Here is a 21,897-nt window from a genome sequence, read left to right on the forward strand (position 1 = left end):
GGCCGGGACAATCAGGCAGGAGAAGGAAATAAAGGGTATTCAATTAGGAAAAGAGGAAGTCAAATTGTCCCTGTTTGCAGACGACATGATTGTTTATCTAGAAATCCCCATCGTCTCAGCCCAAAATCTCCTTAAGCTGGTAAGCAACTTCAGCAAAGTCTCAGGACACAAAATCAATGTACAAAAATCACAAGCATTCTTATACACCAACAACAGACAAACAGAGAGCGAAATCATGAGTGAACTCCCATTCACAATTGCTTCAAAGAGAATAAAATACCTAGGAATCCAACTTACAAGGGATGTGAAGGACCTCTTCAAGCAGAACTACAAACCACTGCTCAAGGAAATAAAAGAGGATACAAACAAATGGAAGAACATTCCATGCTCATGGGTAGGAAGAATCAATATCGTGAAAATGGCCATACTGCCCAAGGTAATTTACAGATTCAATGCCATCCCCATCAAGCTACCAATGACTTTCTTCACAGAATTGGAAAAAACTACTTTAAAGTTCATATGGAACCAAAAAAGAGCCCACATCGCCAAGTCAATCCTAAGCCAAAAGAACAAAGCTGGAGGCATCACACTACCTGACTTCAAACTATACTACAAGGCTACAGTAACCAAAAGAGCATGATACTGGTACCAAAACAGAGATATAGATCAATGGAACAGAACAGAGCCCTCAGAAATAATGCCACATATCTACAACTATCTGATCTTTGACAAACCTGACAAAAACAAGCAATGGGGAAAGGATTCCCTATTTAATAAATGGTGCTGGGAAAACTGGCTAGCCATATGTAGAAAGCTGAAACTGGATCCCTTCCTTACACCTTATACAAAAATCAATTCAAGATGGATTAAAGATTTAAACGTTAGACCTAAAACCATAAAAACCCTAGAAGAAAACCTAGGCATTACCATTCAGGACATAGGCGTGGGCAAGGACTTCATGTCCAAAACACCAAAAGCAATGGCAACAAAAGCCAAAATTGACAAATGGGATCTAATTAAACTAAAGAGCTTCTGCACAGCAAAAGAAACTACCATCAGAGTGAACAGGCAACCTACAAAATGGGAGAAAATTTTCGCAACCTACTCATCTGACAAAGGGCTAATATCCAGAATCTACAATGAACTCAAACAAATTTACAAGAAAAAAACAAACAACCCCATCAAAAAGTGGGCAAAGGACATGAACAGACACTTCTCAAAAGAAGACATTTATGCAGCCAAAAAATACATGAAAAAATGCTCATCATCACTGGCCATCAGAGAAATGCAAATCAAAACCACTATGAGATATCATCTCACACCAGTTAGAATGGCAATCATTAAAAAGTCAGGAAACAACAGGTGCTGGAGAGGATGTGGAGAAATAGGAACACTTTTACACTGTTGGTGGGACTGTAAACTAGTTCAACCATTGTGGAAGTCAGTGTGGCGTTTCCTCAGGGATCTAGAACTAGAAATACCATTTGACCCAGCCATCCCATTACTGGGTATATACCCAAAGGACTATAAATCATGCTGCTATAAAGACACATGCACACGTATGTTTATTGCGGCACTATTCACAATAGCAAAGACTTGGAACCAACCCAAATGTCCAACATTGATAGACTGGATTAAGAAAATGTGGCACATATACACCATGGAATACTATGCAGCCATAAAAAATGATGAGTTCATGTCCTTTGTAGGGACATGGATGAAATTGGAAACCATCATTCTCAGTAAACTATCGCAAGAACACAAAACCAAACACCGCATATTCTCACTCATAGGTGGGAATTGAACAATGAGATCACATGGACACAGGAAGGGGAATATCACACTCTGGGGACTGTGGTGGGGTGGGGGCAGGGGGGAGGGATAGCATTGGGAGATATACCTAATGCTAGATGACGAGTTAGTGGGTGCAGCGCACCAGCATGGCACATGTATACATATGTAACTAACCTGCACAATGTGCACATGTACCCTAAAACTTAAAGTATGATAAAAAACAAACAAACAAAATATTAAAATACAAAAAAAAGAAAACATTAGAAACTTATTTGTATACAGCATTTTTATGATATTAATGATAAGTATGATAATAATGAGGAAAGTAATAAGAGGAGGAGAGCAGAAGATGAAATAAAGTTTTTTTTAGCAATTATCATATTGCAGGCCTATTTTAATTGTTTTCTACGTATTGGCTCATTTAATCCTGCTAATGACTTTATGAGGTACCTACAATTATTATTATCTCTTGTTCAGAGGTATTTTTAGGTAGATTAAATAACTCTAAAAATGAATAACAAAAACCAGAGAACAGAAAATATAAAATAATATCAGGAAAATGCATGGATTATGGTAAACTGGTGAGAGTTCAACTTTCTGTAGAACTGAGTTTTGATCTGAGGATCCAGAAATAACTTTAGAGTTTCTGGAAGTAGAGAAGTGAAATGAAATCTGCTGTGATAGTGTTCTACATCTCTACTTTGCACTACACAATTCATAAACAATAGCATTTTACAAAACCCCATAGACAGTATTATACACTGACTTTCATTTGTAATAATTAATAGTTCATGTTAAATTGTTAAAGGACTTTCTAATGTACCATTAATTCATTCAGGTTATACTTATGTATCTTATGACACATACTGTGGATGTAGTTATGAAAAAAGATGACTCTTACCCCAAGTTTCCTAAAATTCTAGTGAGAAAAAAAAAACACACAATTAAATTTAATTCGACAAATGCAACAATTTGGATCTAAACTGCCTATAGGTCAAGTAATGTTACCATGATCAAAGATAGAATTTCAGTTTTCCTGACTTTTCTCTCAGCAGAATTATTTCCAATTTCACAATAATTACTAAATATGGGTTCAGCTGTCACCTTAGTGACATTATCTTTCTTCATTACTTTGTGTGCTATAACGAATGGCATTGTTTCCTGATTTTAAAAAGTTACTGGGAATAAGATGATGATGGTCTCCAAGCAGTGACAAAACTCTCCATAGTAGCTCTCTGTGGCTCTGATCGGTATCATGAATCATGAATTGATCTTCCACTCAGTTTGACCTGTGTACCCTGCCATATCTATTATGCTCCAAGTCTATTTGAAAGAAGTTATATGTATATAACCATGTCCTAGATTTCTAGAAGATGCCAAACTGTTTCAAGCACTTTTAGTTTGCATCCAGAAAACACTGAGTTTTATTTCTCATTTTAAATCCATGCACAAGCAAACAGAAAAACCATAACAATTAATAAATATTGAATATTCTAAGATAACATCTGGTAAATAATTGGTTTGGTAAATAATTGATAAATAATTGATCTGTCAAATAATATCTGGTAAATAATTGATGCTTAAAGTGATTATGTGTGCACTATTTTTTCTAACTCAATATCTGTATGTTTTCTATAAACAGAATAAGAATCTCCCAAATGTAAATTCTTCCCAATTCTTATATGATTATGAAAATTCATTCATATATTATTCTAAAAATATTTTTTAAAGCAACTAGGTTGCAAGTATGTGCTAGCCATTTGGGTTAATAGAATAATACTATCTTCACCTGCTGGGATTTCAGATGACAGTTAAAAAGGTAGATATTTACATATAGAATAATTTTTTCATAAAAACGTATACCACATGCTGTATCAATGTAAAAGATAGGGTTGCTCACAACACCTGCATTATCCAAGAAATACTTCTGGTAAATACAAGAAATTCGATTATATGAATGTTCTGGGCAAAAAGAATCGTGATTGCAAATAACATGGAGTTGTAAAAGTGAAGGAAGTAGTGTATGGTGAATTATGATGAAACAGAAAGCAACAAATAGCAATTGATTTCTTTTTATGCTTTTCATGAAAGAGCTAATTTTATTAGTTCAACTTATTATGCAAAGCAACATAATGCTATGAAACAAATACTCATTTATGTCATGTGAATATTATGTTCTAAACTCTATTAAATTTTTTATCTATTCCTCTAAGATTTTAACAGCCAATTTGTTTTTCTCCTCCTTCTAAAGAATGAAGCATAAAGAGTCATGGGAAATAGGTAATCACATACAGCCAATACATATCAGAACTGATTCAAATCAGGGCTATGCCCCAACAAATAAGCCCTGTGCCAACTCCTGGGGGAGGGGAGAAACCTTGCAAAATAAAAGTATCCAAGGGAATCTTACAATTTCAGAATAAGTACTATGATATCATTTATTCCTTCACAAAAGTATTAAGTGAGCACATCAAAAATGCCAAGCTTGGCTTATAGGGATTTCTTTCCAAATTATCATACTCTGAAAATTAAACATTCAGGAGACAATTACTTTTTTGGAATTAAACTTACATCTCTTAGACAACAAATAAAACACTTTAGCTAAAGACACTCAGAGTCCTCCAACTCTTCTATTACAATTTCATATGTAATATTTACCTGCATGATAACTGTGGTGCGCTTTCTGTGTATCCTTTTTTCTTTAGGGTTTTATAGGCAAGACTCTGTTACTTTTTGATTGAATACCAAATTATCCACACCACCAACATCAACCATAGCTAGAGAATATGTGGTTGATAATTTATTATCTCACTCGTAGATATTACTTAGTCATTCTCCATCCAACTGATTTAGGTCACAGTAAACCTTTGTATCCTCAAATAATTAAAGGGCGTTCATTATGTCCTACATCTCTTTCTGATGTTAGGTCTCTTGTGCTGAATTTCCCAAGCTCGAGTTGACTTTTTTTTGCCCCATTTATATAATTGGACTTTTATTGCTGTATTTTATGGTCACATATGATCACATAAGCATCCTGAAATGCAGAAGTGTGCTTATCAATATGATAGCAATTTTTACAGTATACTAAAACTTTATTTTTCTTGGCTATCTTTACTAATAACCCATAAACATTTTTTAAGCAAAGGAAACATTTTCTTCATTATTGCCTACTAAAGGGTTTATTGTAGTGTAGCAATTCAATAAAATATTTGTTAATCAACAAATGGATGGAAGTCTCAAAATGCCTACTATTTACATTATCATATATTTTGCCTTTAAATTATCATTGCTCTGCTCTGACACCTTTTTTGAAGAAGTTTTTATATCGGGGCTTTCTAGGACTCCTTGCTTTTCATAACTATGGATACAAATCTCTATATCCCATCAACAATGTTGGCTACCTCTTAAACTCCTTATTCACCCAACTGAACCTCTCTCTGATTTTAGGTCTACTTCCCAGGATCTCCACTGTGGACATATATGGGGCAAAATGCTGTCTGTTACTCATTAAGCTACTAAATAGACTTCTGTGATCAGATTTCCATGGCTATCACATTTTTGAAGTTTTATTGACTTCAAATGTTTTCATATACACGACAGTGAAACAGCACAGTAACACTCAACAATATTATTAACTTAGGGAAGTTCTGTATCACTCCTTGATAACAGTGGCTTCCATAAGGTGGAGTTATTCAAGTATGAGTAGCAGCTTATATACTCCCTCATTCACTGTATTAAAATCTCAGAAATCACAGTCCATTTGTATGACCTCAGGCAAATTAGGAAAACTCTGAATGACTCAGTTTCCTTATATGAAAATTAGGAGAAATAATACTAATTTTCTCAGAGTAGTCGTGAATATTTATTAAAACAACACTTTAAAAAGTGCTTACAAACACGTCTGATACCTTCCGAGCACTTAACAAAGTGTGACTGTTACTATTATTATAATGCCAATTTTAATTTAATAACATACAACCATCCACATACAATTTATTCAAAAATATTTCAGCTTTATGCAGCCCAAGAATGTCAATAGAACAACTGCCTTGTATTAATATATTATGTGGAGCTCCCTTAATCACAACTAAAGCATCCCAGTTTTCTCATCTGTAAATTGAGGATTACAGTAAATTTTAGTTAATTTATTGTTATAAATTATTTAAATTTCTCTTCTGGGTATTACTACTCTAAAAATGTTATGTATTTGCTCATTTTGCATCTTTCGAATACCTTCAAATAAGCCTATCTATGTGCAGACACTGTAAGCACCACATTTTCCATTGCAATGTGATTTGGTTCTGCTAATCAGATACATTCATAAAAGAACTTTTAACTCAGTTAGTCATCTATATTGCTGATGCAGATCATAGCAAGTGCAGGTGACCCTGAAGCTTGCGGCAATAGTGCTGAATTCCTGAGGAGCCATTCTCATGCAGACTGATGGCTTATGCATTAGGCTGTGCTTCTAAGTGCATTGAAGAGCTTAAAGAGAGAAAATGTAACTTTAATGTTTCAATTATCTCATATTTTAATGTTTTAATTATCTCATTATTTTAATATTTCAATTATCTCATAACTGCAGAGATGACATAGCCAATAATAAATCCTAAGTTTCCTCAATTATAAAGTTGATTTAATTTACAACGTCTATACCTATGTAAATGTTAGTGTGTTGACTGTGAAAGAGTTGGGATTGAGCACTGGAATGAGACTAGTTTCAGAAGATTTTGAGTACCTGAATTTGAAAGCACCACCAGCCTCCCTTACCAACACAAGAATCCATATTTCTCTGCCTCATGAAGGTGGCCATACATTGTTTAGAAACACTGTTATTTGGCCATCTTGCCAGCAATTCATCTGCTTGCAAGTTAGCCAAATTACAGGGTTTCTAAACCAAATAGGAACAGCTCTGGTCTGCAGCTCCCAGCGAGATCAATGCAGAAGGTGGTGATTTCTGAGTTTCCAACTGAGGCACCCGGTTCATCTCATTGGGACTGGTTGGACAGTAGGAGCAGCCCATGGAGGGTGAGCCGAAGCAGTGGAGAACGTCGCCTCACCCATAAAATGCAAGGGGTTGGGAAATTCTCTCCTCTACTCAAGGGAAGCTATGAGGGACTGTGCCATGAGGAATGGTGCACTCCAGCCCGGATACTTTTCTCATGGTCTTCAAAACCTGCAGACCAGGAGATTCCCTCTCGTGCCTACCTCACTAGAGCCCTGGGTTTCAAGCACAAAACTGGGTGGCTGTTTGGGCAGACACTGAGATAGCAGCAGGAGTTTTTTGTTTTTTGTTTTTTTTTTTTCCATACTCCAGTGTCACCTGGAACACCAGCTAGACAGAACCGGAAAGAGGGCTGAAGCCAGGGAACCAAGTTGTCTGGCTCAGTGGGTCCCACCCCCACGGAGCCCAGCAGGCTAAGATACACTGGCTTGAAATTCTTGCTGCCAGTACAGCAGTCTGAGGTCGAACTGGGATGCTCAAGCTTGGTGGGGGAGAGGAATCCACCATTGCTGAGCCTTGAGTAGGCAGTTTTACCCTCACAGTGTAAACAAAGCCACTGGGAAGTTTGAAATGGGCGGAGCCCACTGCAGCTCAGCAAGGCCACTGTGGCCAGACTGCCTCTCTAGATTCCTCCTCTCTGGGCAGGGCATCTCTGAAAAAAAGACAGCAAGCCCAGTTAGGGGCTTATAGATAAACACCCGATCTCCCTGAGGCAGAGCACCTGGGGGAAGGGGTGGCTATGGGGGCAGCTTCAGCAGACTTAAACGTCCTTGCCTGATGGCTCTAAAGAGAGCAGCGGATCTCCCAGCACAACGCTCAAGCTCTGCTAAGGGTCAGATTGCCTCCTCAAGGGGGTCCCTGACCCCTGTGTAGCCTGACTGGGAGACACCTCCCAGTAGGGGTCAACAGACACCTCATACAGAGAGCTCTGACTGGCATCTGGCAGGTGCCTCTCTGGGATAAAGTTTCCAGAGGAAGGAACAGGCAGCAATCTTTGCTGTTCACCAGCCTCCGCTGGTGATACCCAGGAAAACAGGGTCTGGAGTGCACCTCCAGCAAACTCTAGCAGACCTGCAGCAGAGGGGTCTGACTGTTAGAAGGAAAACTAACAAACAGAAAGAAATAGCATTATCATCAACAAAAAGGACATCCACTCAGAGACCCCATCCGAAGGTCACCAACATGAAAGACCAAAAGTAGTTAAATCCACAAAAATCGGAAGAAACCAGCACAAAAAGGATGAAAATTCCAAAAACCAGAATGCCTCTTCTTCTCCAAATGGTCACAACATCTCGCAAGCAAGGGAAGAAAACTGGATGGAGAATGAGTTTGATGAATTGACAGAAGTAGACTTGAGAAGGTGGGTAATAACAAACTCCTCTGAGCTAAAGAAGCATGTTCTAACCCAACACAAGGAAGCTCAGAACCTTGAAAAAATGTAAGACGAATTGCTAACTAGAATAACCATTTTAGAGCAGAACATAAATAACCTGATGGAGCTGAAAAATACAGCACAAGAACTTTGTGAAGCATACACAAGTATCAATAGCTGAATCGATCAAGCAGAAGAAAGGATATCAGAGATTGAAGATCAACTTAATGAAATAAAGTGAGAAGACAAGATTAGAGAAAAAGAATGTAAAGGAATGAACAAAGCCTCCAAGAAATATGGGACTATGTGAAAAGACCAAATCTATGTTTGATTGGTGTACATGAAAGTGACAGGGAGAATGGAACCAAGTTGGAAAACACTCTTCAGGATATTATCCAGGAAAACTTCCCCAACCTAGCAAGACAGGGCAACATCCAAATTCATGAAATACAGAGAACACTACAAAAATACTCCTCAAGAAGAGCAACCCCAAGACACATAATCGTCAGACTCATCAAGGTTGAAATGAAGGAAAAAATGTTAAGGGCAGCCAGAGAGAAAAGTCTAGTTACCCACAAAGGGAAGCCCATCAGACTAACAACGGATCTCTCTGCAGAAGCCCTGCAAGCCAGAAGAGAGTGGGGGCCAATATTCACATTCTTAAAGCAAAGAATTTTCAACCCAGAATTTCATATCCAGCTAAACTAAGTTTCATAAGCAAAGGATAAGTAAAATCCTTTACAGACAAGCAAATGCTGAGAGATTTTGTCACCACCAGACCTGCCTTACAAGAGCTCCTGAAGGAAGCACTAAATATACAAAGGAACAACCAGTACCAGCCACTGCAAAAACATACCAAATTGTAAAGACCATCGACACTATGAAGAAACTGCATCAACTAATGGGCAAACTAACCAGCTAGCATCATAATGACAGAATCAAATTTACACATAACAATATTAACCTTAAATGTAAATGGGCTAAATGCCCTAATTAAAAGATGCAGACTGGCAAATTGGATAGAGTCAAGACCCATCAGTGTGCTGTATTCAGGAGACCCATCTCAAGTGCAAAGACACACAGAGGCTCAAAATAAAAGGATGGAGGAATATTTACCAAGAAAATGGAAAGCAAAAAATAGCAGGGGTTACAATCCTAGTCTCTGATAAAACAGACTTTAAACCAACAAAGATAAAAAAAGACAAAGAAGAGCATTACATAGTGGTAAAGGGATCGATGCAATAGGAAGAGCTAACTATCCTAAATATATATGCACCCAATACAGGAGCACCCATATTCATAAAGCAAGTTCTTAGAGACCTACAAAAAGACTTGGACTCCCAAGCAATAATAGTAGGAGATTTTAACACCCCACTGTCAATATTAGACAGATTAATGACACAGAAAATTAACAAAGATATTCAGGACTTGAACTCAGCTCTGGACCAAGCAGACCTAATAGACTTCTACAGAACTCTCCACCCCAAATCAACAGAATATACATTCTTTTCAGTACCACATCACACTTATTCTAAAATTGACCACATAATTGGAAATAAAACACTCCTCAGCAAATGCAAAAGAATGGAAATTATAACAAACAGTCCGCCAGACCACTGTGCAATCAAATTAGAACTCAGGATTAAGAAACTCACTCAAAACCACACAACTACATGGAAACTGAACAACCTGCTCCTAAATGACTATTGGATAAATAACAAAATTAAGACAGTGATAAAGATGTTCTTTGAAACCAATGAGAACAAAGACAAAACGTACCAGAATCCATGGGACACATTTAAAGCAGTGTTTAGAGGGAAATTTATAGCAGTGAATGCCCACAAGAAAAGCACAGAAGATCTAAAATCAACACCTTAACATCAACATTACAAGAACTAGAGAAGCAAGAGCAAACAAATTCAAAAGTTAGCAGAAGACAAGAAATAACTAAGATCAGAGCAGAATGGAGGGAGAGAGAGACACGAAAAACCTTTCAAAAAAATCAATGAGTCCAGGAGCTGGTTTTTTGAAAAGATTGACAAAGTAGATAGACTGCTAGCCAGGCTAATAAAGAAGAAAAGAGAGAAGAATCAAATAGATGCAATAAAAAATGATAAAGGGGATATCACCACTGTTCCCAAAGAAATACAAACTACGATCAGAGAATACTATAAACACCCCTACACAAATAAACTTAAAAATCTAGAAGAAATGGATAAATTCCTGGACACATACACACTCCCAAGACTAAACCAGGAAAAAGTTGAATCCCTGAATAGACCAATAACAGGCTCTGAAATTGAGAAAATAATTAATAGCTTACCAACCAAAAATTGTCCAGGACCAGATGGATTTACAGCCGAATTCTACCAGAGGTACAAAGAGGAGTTGGTACCATTCCTTCTGAAATTATTCTAAACAATAGAAATAGAAGGAATCCTACCTAACTCATTTTATGAGGCCAGCATCATCCTGATACCAAAACCTGGCAGACACACAACAAAAAAACAAAATTTCAGGTCAATATCCCTGATGAACATTAATGCGAAAATCCTCAGTAAAATACTGGCAAACCGAATCCAGCAGCACAACAAAAAGCTTATCCACCATGGTCAAGTCGGCTTCATCCCTGGGATGCAAGGCTGGTTCGACATACACAAATCTATCAATGTAACCCATCACCTAAACAGAACCAATGACAAAAACCACATGATTATCTCAATAGATGCAGAAAGGCCCTCAAGAAAATTCTACAGCCCTTCATGCTAAAAACTCTCAATAAATTAGGTACTGATGGGACGTATCTCAAAATAATAAGAGCTATTTATGACAAACCCACAGCCAATATCATACTGAATAGGAAAAAACGGGAAGCATTCCCTTTGAAAACCTGCACAAGTTTCTCTCTCACCACTCCTATTCAACATGGTATTGAAAGTTCTGGACAGGGCAATCAGGCAAGAGAAAAAAATAAAGTGTATTCACATAGGAAAAGAGGAAGTTAAATTGTCTGTATTTGCAGATGACATGATTGTATATTTAGAAAAACCCCATTGTCTCAGCCCAAAATCTCCTTAAGCTGATAAGCAACTTCAGCAAAGTCTCAGGATACAAAATCAATGTACAAAAATCACAAGCATTCTTATACACCAACAACAGACAAACAGAGAGCCAAATCGTGAGTGAATTCCCATTCACAATTATTAAAAAGAGAATAAAATACCTAGGTATACAACTTACAAGGGATGTGAAGGACCTCTTCAAGGAGAACTACAAACCACTTCTCAAGGAAATAAGAGAGGACACAAACCAATTGGAAAACATTCCATGCTCATGGATAAGAAGAATTAATATCATGAAAATGGCCATGCTACTCAAAGTAATTTATAGATTCAATGCTATCCCCATCAAGCTACCATGGAATTTCTTCACAGAATTGGAAAAAACTACTTTAAATTTCATATGGAACCAAAACAAAGCCCACATAGACAAGACAATCCTAAGCAAAAAGAACAAAGCTGGAGGCATCATGCTACCTGACTTCAAACTATACTACAAGGCTACAGTAACCAAAACAGCATGTTACTGGTACCAAAACAGATATATAGACCAATGGAACAGAACAGGGGCCTCAGAAATAATGCCACACATCTACAGTCATCTGGTCTTTGACAAACCTGACAAAAACAAGCAATGGGAAAAGGATTTCCTATTTAATAAATGGTGTTGGGAAAGCTGGCTAGCAACATGCAGAATGCTGAAACTGGATCCCTTCCTCACACATTATACCAAAATTAACTCAAGATGAGTTAAAGACTTAAATGTGAGACCTAAAACCATAAAAACCCTAGAAGAAAACCTAGGCAATACTATTCAGGACATAGGCAAGGGCATAGACTTCATGACTTAAAACACCAAAAGCAATGATAACAAAAGCCAAAATAGACAAGTGGAATCCAGTGAAACTAAGAGGTTCTGCACAGAAAAAAAAAAACTATCATAAGAGTGAACAGGCAACCTACAGAATGGGAGAAAATTTTTGCAATCTATCCATCTGACAAAGGGCTAATATCCAGAATCTACAAAGAACTTAAACAAATTTACCAGAAATAAACAAACGACCCTATCAAAAGATGGGCAAAGGATCTGAACAGACACTTCTCAAAAGGAGACATTTATGCAGCCAACAAACATATGACAAAAAAGCTCATTATTATTGGTCATTAGAGAAATGCAAGTCAAAACCACAATGAGATACCATCTCACGCCAGTTAGAATGGCGATCATTAAAAAGTCAGGAAACAACAGATGCTGCAGAGGATGTGGAGAAATAGGAATGTTCTTACACTGTTGGTGGGAGTGTAAACTAGTTCAACCATCGTGGAAGACAGTATGGGGATTCCTCAAGGATCTAGAACCAGAAATACCATTTGACTGAGCAATCCCATTACTGGGTGTATATCCAGAGGATTATAAATCATTCTACTATAAAGACATATGCACACGTGTGTTTATTGCGGAACTGTTCACAATAGCAAAGACTTGGAACCAACCCAAATGTCCATCAATGATAGGCTGGATAAAGAAAATGTAGCACATAGACACCATGGAATGCTGTGCAGCCATTAAAAAGGATGAGTTCATATTCTCTGCAGGGACGTGGATGAAGCTGGAAACTATCATTCTCAGCAAACTAACACAGAAACAGAAAAACAAACACCACATGTTCTCACTCATAAGTGGGAGGTGAATAATGAGAACACATGGACACAGGGAGAGGAACATCACACAGCAGGGCCTGTCAGGGGGTGTGGGGATAGGGGAGGGATAGCATTAGTAGAAATACCTAATGTAGATGACAGTTTGATGGGTGCAGCAAACCGCCATGGCATGTGTATACCTATGTAACAAACCTGCATGTTCTGCACATGTACCCCGAGCTTAAAATATAATTTTAAAAAAGACAGAAAAAAAGTGGGCAAAAGACAAAACATTTTATTTTTTTAACTGATAAATAAAATTGTACATATTTATAGGTTACATAGTAATGGTTTGATACATATAATGTGTAGTGATAAGATCAGAGTAGTTAGAAAATTTGTCATCTCAGGCATTTATAATTTCTTTATGTTGGGAACACTTGTTTATTCATTTTTTAGAGACTAGGTCTCACTCTGTTACCCAGGCTGGAGTGCAGTGGCGTGATCACAGCTCACTGTAACCTTGAACTCCTGGGCTCAGGCAGTCCTTCTGCCTCAGCTGCCTGAGTAGCTGGAACTACAGGTGTGCACCACCACACCTGGCTAATTTTTTTCAAAAAATGTTTTTAGAGACGGGGTCTCACAATATTGCTCAGAATGGTCTCAAACTCCTGGCCTCAAGGGATCCTCCTGCCTCTGCCTGCTGAGTTTCTGGGATTACAGGTGCAAACCACCATACTTGACTGCATTGGAAACATTCAATATCCTCTTTCTAGCTATTTGAAACTGTATAGTGTATTATTATTAACTATAGCCATCCTACCATCGTATAGAACACGAGAGCTTATTCCTCTTACCTAGCTGTAATTTTCTTGAGATATGAAAGTCCAGGGGAAGCAGCAGTGACCTATCCCCTGAAACAGAGGTGATGAGTAATACCAGAAGCAGAAGCTCCTGTGAGAACAGGTTCAAGATATCCTCTGACAGGACAGTTATGGACATAACCCCTGGACAAGGAGCACAGCAGGAAGAACTTTCAAAGGACCTGTGAGGATGCATGAAGTTAGCACCTCAAGGAAATTCATATGTTACCCAAGGACATTAAAGGAGAGTACATTCCTATCTGGGGACATGGACATTTGAAGTCTTTAAGTGTTTTTTTTAATGAAGGTGCAACCTTATTTTATACCTACAAAAAAATGTAGAATTTTCACACTTTTCTGCAAGAAGTAAAAATTATGCTAAGAGCTATCTTTATCATCTCTGCATTCTCACAACCTAAGGCTGAGCCCAACACATTACAAGCTTTAAAAGGTAAATATTGAACGAATAAATGGTAGTGATTATAATCACAATCTTTCTATGTTGTCATCAATGGAAAAATTTAAAACCTTAAACACAAGTCTGACATCTTTTATGATGTGGAATAATGGAGACCACTGGCCCATTCTAAAACATGAGAACGAATTCTTAACATTTCCCTAAAATAGAGAATCAACTCATTCACAGTTTAGTAGTTTACCATTTAAAGACTACGAATCTTTTTTACTTCATTATTTATTTTCTTCTATTACTGCAGTTTTAGATTATTATAAAAATGTAAATTCTTCTTTATATTTTTCTGCTCCAATTTCAGGCTTCTGTATCACCTAAATATTTTATTCCAAATTGTATACCAATTTGGACTATTATTTAGTGGTTGGTGTCATGAGAACGCCAATCTTCATGGTACCTTTTATTTGTTCATTTAACTAATCCCCCTGAGTCCATTGTAAATACAGTAGATAAAATCATGGCTAGCCTGAATAACATTGCTTCTGCACAGAAGATCATTTCTTCTTACCTATCAAGCTCGGAAAGCCACTACATTAGCCTTCATTTCAACTAAAATTTGTATCAAGGTAATACTTTTTAAAGCGGCGATAGGTAGGATATCTTGAGACTTCAGATCCTTGGTGAAATTTGGGTTGATGTATAAAAATGTATTTATGTATGCCCTTCTTGTAAACGTTATAGAGAAGCTCTTGAAATTGTTCTTTATTATCAATATTTTGGATATTTTGTTACAAATACAAGATGATAGAGGAGAAACAGATTGCAAAAGCTCTTGAAAAATCCAACAGCATTTATGTTTAAGCAATGAATAAACCTTTTGAAATAAGATACACTAAACCATTCATATTTACCATAAAAGTATGTTTTTTCAGGAATATAATTTTTGCTTTAATAGCTTATATTTATGTTTTATATAAATTCAGTTATTCACATTATATATAAGTAAAATTAAAGCACACAATTTAAATGAAATATATAAAGAAAAGATAATGTAAAGAATATGATATCTTCTGTCCACTAAACACTTCTATATACCATTATCAGGGACATGTCTCTGGATGACTGAGTTGTCTTTACAACTCAGTCAATTATAAAAAGTAGATTATAAAAATTTGAATGAGGATGGAGAAGGAGATGCTCTCTTTTTTTCTTTTCTTTTGAATAAGCATATCTTTCTCCACCCTCATTCAAAAGAAAAAGAACAAAACAGATGAAGAGAAAAATAACAAAAAATTTTCAAAGACTACCATAGTATGCTGGCTATGAATTCTCATGAGCTTCATTTGAAAATGCCTTAATCTCAGAAGTTTTAATTTCTTTTTTCTTGTTTTCAGGGAATATACTGAAACATTTAGAAGACAGAGATGTATTCTGAAATATATAAAAATATAATGAAGGAAATACAGAAATAATTGATTTATAAGGTAACAACAGAATTTTTAAAATGTATTTGGTATCTATGTACTACAAAACCATTTTTCTCTACAAGCAAAAAGCAACAATGAAGTTTTTTAAAGTCCTTTTTTTTTTTTTTTTCCGAGACGGAGTCTGCATATATTGCCCAGGCTGGAGTGTAGTGGCACAATCTCAGCTCACTGCAACCTCCGCCTCCTGGGTTCAAGCAATTCTCCTGCCTCAGCCTCTGGAGTAGCTGGGACTACAGGCGTGCGTCACCATGCCCGGCTAATTTTTTTGTATTTTTAGTAGAGACGGGGTTTCACCATATTGGCCAGGCTGTTCTCGAACTGACCTCAGGTGATCCATCTGCCTCAGCCCCCCAAAGTGCTGGGATTACAGGCATGAGTCATTGTGTCCTGCCTAAAGTTAATTTTTTTTACATTTAGTTTCTTTTCCTTTTTTTTTTTTTTTTTTTTTTTTTTTTTTGACACGGAATTTCACTCTTGTCGCCCAGGCTGGAGTGCAATGGTGCGATCTCAGCTCACTGCAACCTCCACCTCCCAGGTTCAAGCAATTCTCCTGCCTCAGCCTCCCAAGTAGCTGGGATTACAAGCCCCTGCCACCACACCCCGCTAATTGTTTGTATTTTTAGTAGAGACAAAGTCTCACTATGTTGGCCAGGCTGGTCTCGAACTCCTGACCTCAGGTGATCCATCTGCCTCAGCCTCCCAAACTGCTGGGATTACAGGCATGAGCCACTGCGCCCAGCCTACAGTTAGTTTCATTGTGTATATTTAAGGTATATAACATAATCTTTCTATATGTGTATATATAGAGAAAGGATTACTACCTCCAAGCAAAATTATTCTATCCATCACATCCCATAGTTACCTTCTTATATAATACATTACTAACTGTAGCCTTTGTGCTATACATTAGCTCTCTAGATTTATTCATCGTACATAACTACAAGTTTAAACCCTTTGAAGATATTGAATATATATATATGTATTAAATAGATAGATGCATCAGCGGATAGCTAGACACAATGGAATGTTATCCAGCCTCATAAAAGAAGGAGATACTGCCACACTGCCATTTGTGACATTACGGATGAACCTGGAAGGCATTATGGTAAATGGAAAGAGCCAGACAGAAAAAAAATAATAATTTTCTTTACTGGTGTCATAGTTTTCTGGTTTCTTCACCTATTTTACAGCGAAAATACAGAATACTTTTCTAAAGAAAAAAATAATGAGAAATTCCACAGCAGTAACAGACTTTATTCTTCTTGGATTGACAAGTGACCCACAGTGGCAGGTTGTACTTTTCATATTTCTTCTTGTTACCTACATGTTAAGTGTGACTGGGAACCTGATCATTATCACCCTCACCCTTTCAGATCCCCATCTGCAGACTCCCATGTATTTCTTCCTTCGGAACTTCTCATTCCTGGAAATTTCATTCACGTCTGTCTGCATTCCCAGATTCCTTGTCACTGTTGTGACAGGAAACAGAACCATTTCTTATAATGGGTGTGTGGCTCAGCTATTTTTTTTCATCTTCTTGGGGGTGACAGAATTTTACCTTCTGGCTGCCATGTCCTATGACCGCTGCATGGCCATCTGCAAACCTCTTCATTACACAATCATCATGAGCACCAGAGTGTGTACCCTTCTTGTCTTTAGCTCCTGGCTTGCAGGGTTTCTGATCATCTTTCCACCAGTAATGCTTCTGCTGCAGTTGGATTTCTGTGCCTCCAATGTAATTGATCATTTTATCTGTGACTCTTCTCCAATGCTGCAGCTCTCTTGCACAAACACTCACTTTCTAGAACTCATGGCATTTTTTTTAGCTGTGGTAACACTGATGGTCACCTTGACATTAGTTATTCTCTCCTACACAAACATCATCCGGACAATTCTGAAAATTCCTTCTATGAGTCAAAGGAAAAAAGCCTTTTCCACTTGCTCCTCCCATATGATAGTTGTCTCCATCTCTTACAGTAGCTGTATCTTCATGTACATTAAGACTTCTGCCAGAGAAAGGGTGACTTTAAGCAAAGGAGTAGCTGTGCTCAATACCTCAGTGGCTCCTCTCTTGAATCCCTTCATATACACACTGAGAAATAAGCAAGTGAAGCAAGCCTTCAAGAGCATGGTCCAGAAGATGATTTTTTCTTTAAATAAATGAATGTGATTATGTAAAAAATGTACCCCCAAAGGCAAAGCTGAATGAAAAACTCTCTACCCTTCTCTACATGAACTCTTTCTAAACACCTTATTTCACACTTTTAGTTAGACATAGTTACATATCATCAACACTTCTTAATGAAATTAGCCTAAAAACCAAGATTTAGCTCTTCTAAACTATATAGAAAGTGTTCGCTCTCTCACCTATGTAACTAAATTTTAGGTAAATTAATAATTACTATGGTTTATTGAGGGATAGCATTGGGAGATATACCTAAGGCTAGATGACGAGTTAGTGGGTGCAGCGCACCAGCATGGCACATGTATACATATGTAACTAACCTGCACAATGTGCACATGTACCTTAAAACTTAAAGTATAATAAAAAATAATAATAAAATAAAGGCAAAATAGATTCTTCATTCATAAAATAGAGGTAGCTATAAATTAAAAACTTACTAAAACCACATTCAACTATGAAATTAATTTTATATGAAATGTTTAAACTATGTATCTTAATTAATATATCTAAAATTTTTTCTTCAATGTCACCAGGAAAAACATGTTATAAAACTAAAAGCATCATTAAAATGTCTCCTTGTATTTGTCAATAAAATGTAGTTAAAATGTGTGTAAACATTAAATAAAAGTGTAAGACAAATGTGCAGAGATATTATCTCTGTTGTTTGAATTAAGGCTGTATTACTTTTTGTCTTAGCTTTCCTAGAAAAAAAGAGCAAAGCGTAATCAAAGAGTTGATATTATTTATCTTATATTTTCCTTTGATAATATTTCCTTAAAAATAGATTATTTAACAGAGAACTTTTCTGTTTCTGCCAATATTTTAAAAGAAAAACCATGATCTATGAAGGCAATTCATATTTGTGTTCAGATTCCTTATATTGATACAAAATTGCCTTACTACTGATATGATGAAGAAAATGACAAAGTAAGAGTCTACAATGGTGTGATACTGCCCTTTTATAAGGTATTCGGCGAATGATGACGTGGTTTATTAATGTCTTGGTTTTTCCTTTTCTAGTAAACCTATAATATTTTATTTATCTTTCCATTGTCTCCTTCACAGGTTTCACTCCCCTCACCTATATCCAAGAAAATGACTTTTAGAGGTATTTGAGAACTGTAAAAAATGTGTTCAAGCCCACTTCCTATAGTTAATGAGTCCCTCAACTCCCATGTATCATTAAGAAAATTGGTTGTTGAATCCAGCAGCACATCAAAAAGATAATTCACCACGATCAAGTGGGCTTTAAACCTGGATGCAAGGATGGTTTAACATACACGAATCAATAAATGTGATTCACCACATAAACAGAACTAAAAACAAAAACCATATGATCATCTCAATAGACACAGAAAAAATAGTCAATAAATCCAACATCCCTTTATGACAAAAACACTCAACAAACCACGCATTGAAGGAAAATAGCCCAAAATAATAACAGCCATCTGTGACAGACCCACAGCCAATATCATAATAAACTAGCAAAAGTTGTATGCATTCTTCCTGAGAACTGGAACAAGACAAGGATGTCCCCTCTCAGCACTCCTATTCAACATAGTACTGAAAGCCCTAGCCAGAGCAATCAGGCAAGAGAGAGAAATGAAAGGCATCCAAATAGGAAAAGAAGAAGTCAAATTATCTCCGTTTACTGAAAATATAATCCTGTACCTAAAAAACTTTAAAGGTTCCTCCAAAAAACTCCTAGGCCTGATAAACTACTTGAGTAAAGTTTGAGGATATAAAATCAACATAGAAAAGTCAGTAGCATTTCTATACACCAATAACATTCAAGCTGAGAACCAAATAAAAAACGCAATCTTGGCTGGGTGTGGTGGCTCATGCCCGAAATCTCAGCACTTTGGGAGGCCAAGCGGGGAGGATTGCTTGAGCCCAGAAGTTTAAGACCAGCCTTGGCAACATAGTGAGACTCTGTCTACACAAAAAAATTTAAAAATTAGCTAAGCATGGTAGCATACACCTGTGGTCCCAGCTACTCAAGAAGATGAGGTGGGAGAATTGCTTGGACCTTGGAGGTTGAGGCTGCAGTGAGCTCTCATCATGCCACTGCACTCCACCCTGGACAACAGAGTGAGACCCTGTCTCAAAAAAATAAATAAAAGTTGTCCAAACATGGTGGCTCACGCCTGTAATCCCAGCACTTTGAGAGGCTGAGGCTGGTGGATCACTTGAGGCCAGGAGTTCAAGACCAGCCTGGACAGCATAGCAAGACCCTATCTCTACTTAAAAATAAAAAAACAAGATGCCTGTAATTCCAGCACTTTGGGAGGCCAAGGCAGGCAAATTACTTGAGTACAAGAGTTCAAGACAAGTCTGAGCAACATGGTGAAACCCCAATCTCTACAAAAAATACAAAAATTAGCTGGTCACGCTGGCATGCACCTGTAGTCCCAGCTACTTAAGAGGCTGAGGTGGAAGAATCGCTTGAGTACAGGAGGTGGAGGCTACAGTGAGCCAAGATTGCACCACTGCACTCCAGCCTGGGCGATAGAGCGAAACTCTATCTCGATAAAATAAAACAAAATAAAAAAGTTATTTTAAAATTTCTAAAACAAGAAAAGAAAATTGGCTGTCTTGGGACAGTAGCTATGAATCTGACTAGATACAGGATAAATGGATTTTAGTTTGATTCCTTGATTTTCAGCTTTGTCTGATATACAGGTGAATGTAAAGAGCTCTACAGGTTTTCTAAGTCTGTGACAAATACTTTTTTTTATAGATGTGAGCGTCCTTCAGCACTTGTCTATTTCTTACCATTGTGTTTTATGGAATGGCATACTTTTTTTTAAAACAGATTATAATATAATATCATCACAAAATGAAAATTACATGATAATGATTACATGATTATTTCATTATGAATTCTTTATTGTGGCAATTTGTAAAGAAATGAGACATTGTAAGTTTGCTTTTATTAAGATTACAACAAGTAAGCAGAAATGCAAAAGTGAAAATCAGGAGTGTGGAAACAACATGCAAACGTTAACTAAGTGAAGATAAAGTATATATACATATACAACTACATGATAGATAGATAGATAAAGAGAGATAGAGGGAAAGAGAGGGAAAGAAGAGAAACTGGAAAATTAGAGAGTAAGGGAAAGTAAATTTTCTTAATCCACAAAAACTTATCTGAAGAAGTTGATTCTAATGTTCAATAAATGTAAACCCATGAAAATCACTATGAATCTTTCCTTAAGTAGTATTATTATGCTGTAAGGTGAAATATTATTCACTATTATTTATTATTTATTTTTATATAAATATTATTTTATACATAAAATAGGTCAGGTATTTAGAGGTTTTTGATTAAAAGTTTATACTCGTATTTGATGTTCATATTGTACTATCTCAAAAAATACTTTTATTTTAACAATGTGAAAAATTACATTTGTATAATGCTCACAGAAAATATATCTGGGTCATAACCAGTTTTAAGTTACATGGCAATTATTGTCACTTTATTTTTTTGAAGTTACAGAGATCATAAATAATTATTAAATTTCATTGGTAAAAAATCATCTTGGAAATTGATTCTAGCAAATAAATGGTTGTTAAAAATGAAAATGTCAATGTTACTGTAATTTGGAACTTCATTAATTCATATTCTCTTGGAACATTACTCATCTTAAATATTAAAAATGCTCTCAACAGAGTAATAATCATTCATAAACCACTGATTCTCTTTGGATCATAATAACAGGTAGTTATTGATAAATAAAAATGTTATAATCATTAATCATAAAAGTGATCATAAAATCTAAGTAAAATCATACAATCAGACAATTTTAGTAAATGCTTTATTTTAGTATATATATATATATATATATATATACACTCAGAAGGAAAGGTAAATTAAATTAATAGATAATTAGGATAGAAAAATAGGACACCAGCAATGTTTTATCTTACGTGACATTTCTGCGTTGATTTTAATTTGAATTTAATCAAGTACAGATGCTTGTATTTTGTTAAATTTCTTTAAGTAAGACTAGAGTAAATGTGTTAACATTTTTCTGATATTCCACATAATCATGTTTTTATAAAAGACAAACTAC

General features: G+C 36.4%; 1 protein-coding gene across 1 annotated transcript, besides 1 other annotated feature; it reads left to right on the plus strand.

Annotated features, from left to right (window-relative positions):
- Positions 6,606-7,383: an enhancer, noted in NCBI's record as "H3K27ac-H3K4me1 hESC enhancer chr12:55748642-55749419 (GRCh37/hg19 assembly coordinates)". NCBI's record gives its function as "activates a minimal SCP1, AML or CMV promoter by ChIP-STARR-seq in primed H9 embryonic stem cells {active_cell/tissue: H9 hESC(primed)}" and the evidence as "EXISTENCE:reporter gene assay evidence [ECO:0000049][PMID:30033119]".
- Positions 14,723-21,027, plus strand: OR6C75 (olfactory receptor family 6 subfamily C member 75). Its single transcript, NM_001005497.2, has 3 exons — positions 14,723-14,797; positions 15,541-15,630; positions 16,624-21,027. The coding sequence occupies exon 3, from the start codon at positions 16,859-16,861 to the stop codon at positions 17,795-17,797; it is 939 nt and encodes a 312-aa protein (NP_001005497.1). The 5' UTR covers positions 14,723-14,797; positions 15,541-15,630; positions 16,624-16,858; the 3' UTR covers positions 17,798-21,027.
- Positions 21,028-21,897: the final 870 nt, after the last annotated feature.

The sequence above is a fragment of the Homo sapiens genome, chromosome 12, assembly GCF_000001405.40.
Source record: "Homo sapiens chromosome 12, GRCh38.p14 Primary Assembly".
Lineage (NCBI taxonomy): Eukaryota > Metazoa > Chordata > Mammalia > Primates > Hominidae > Homo > Homo sapiens.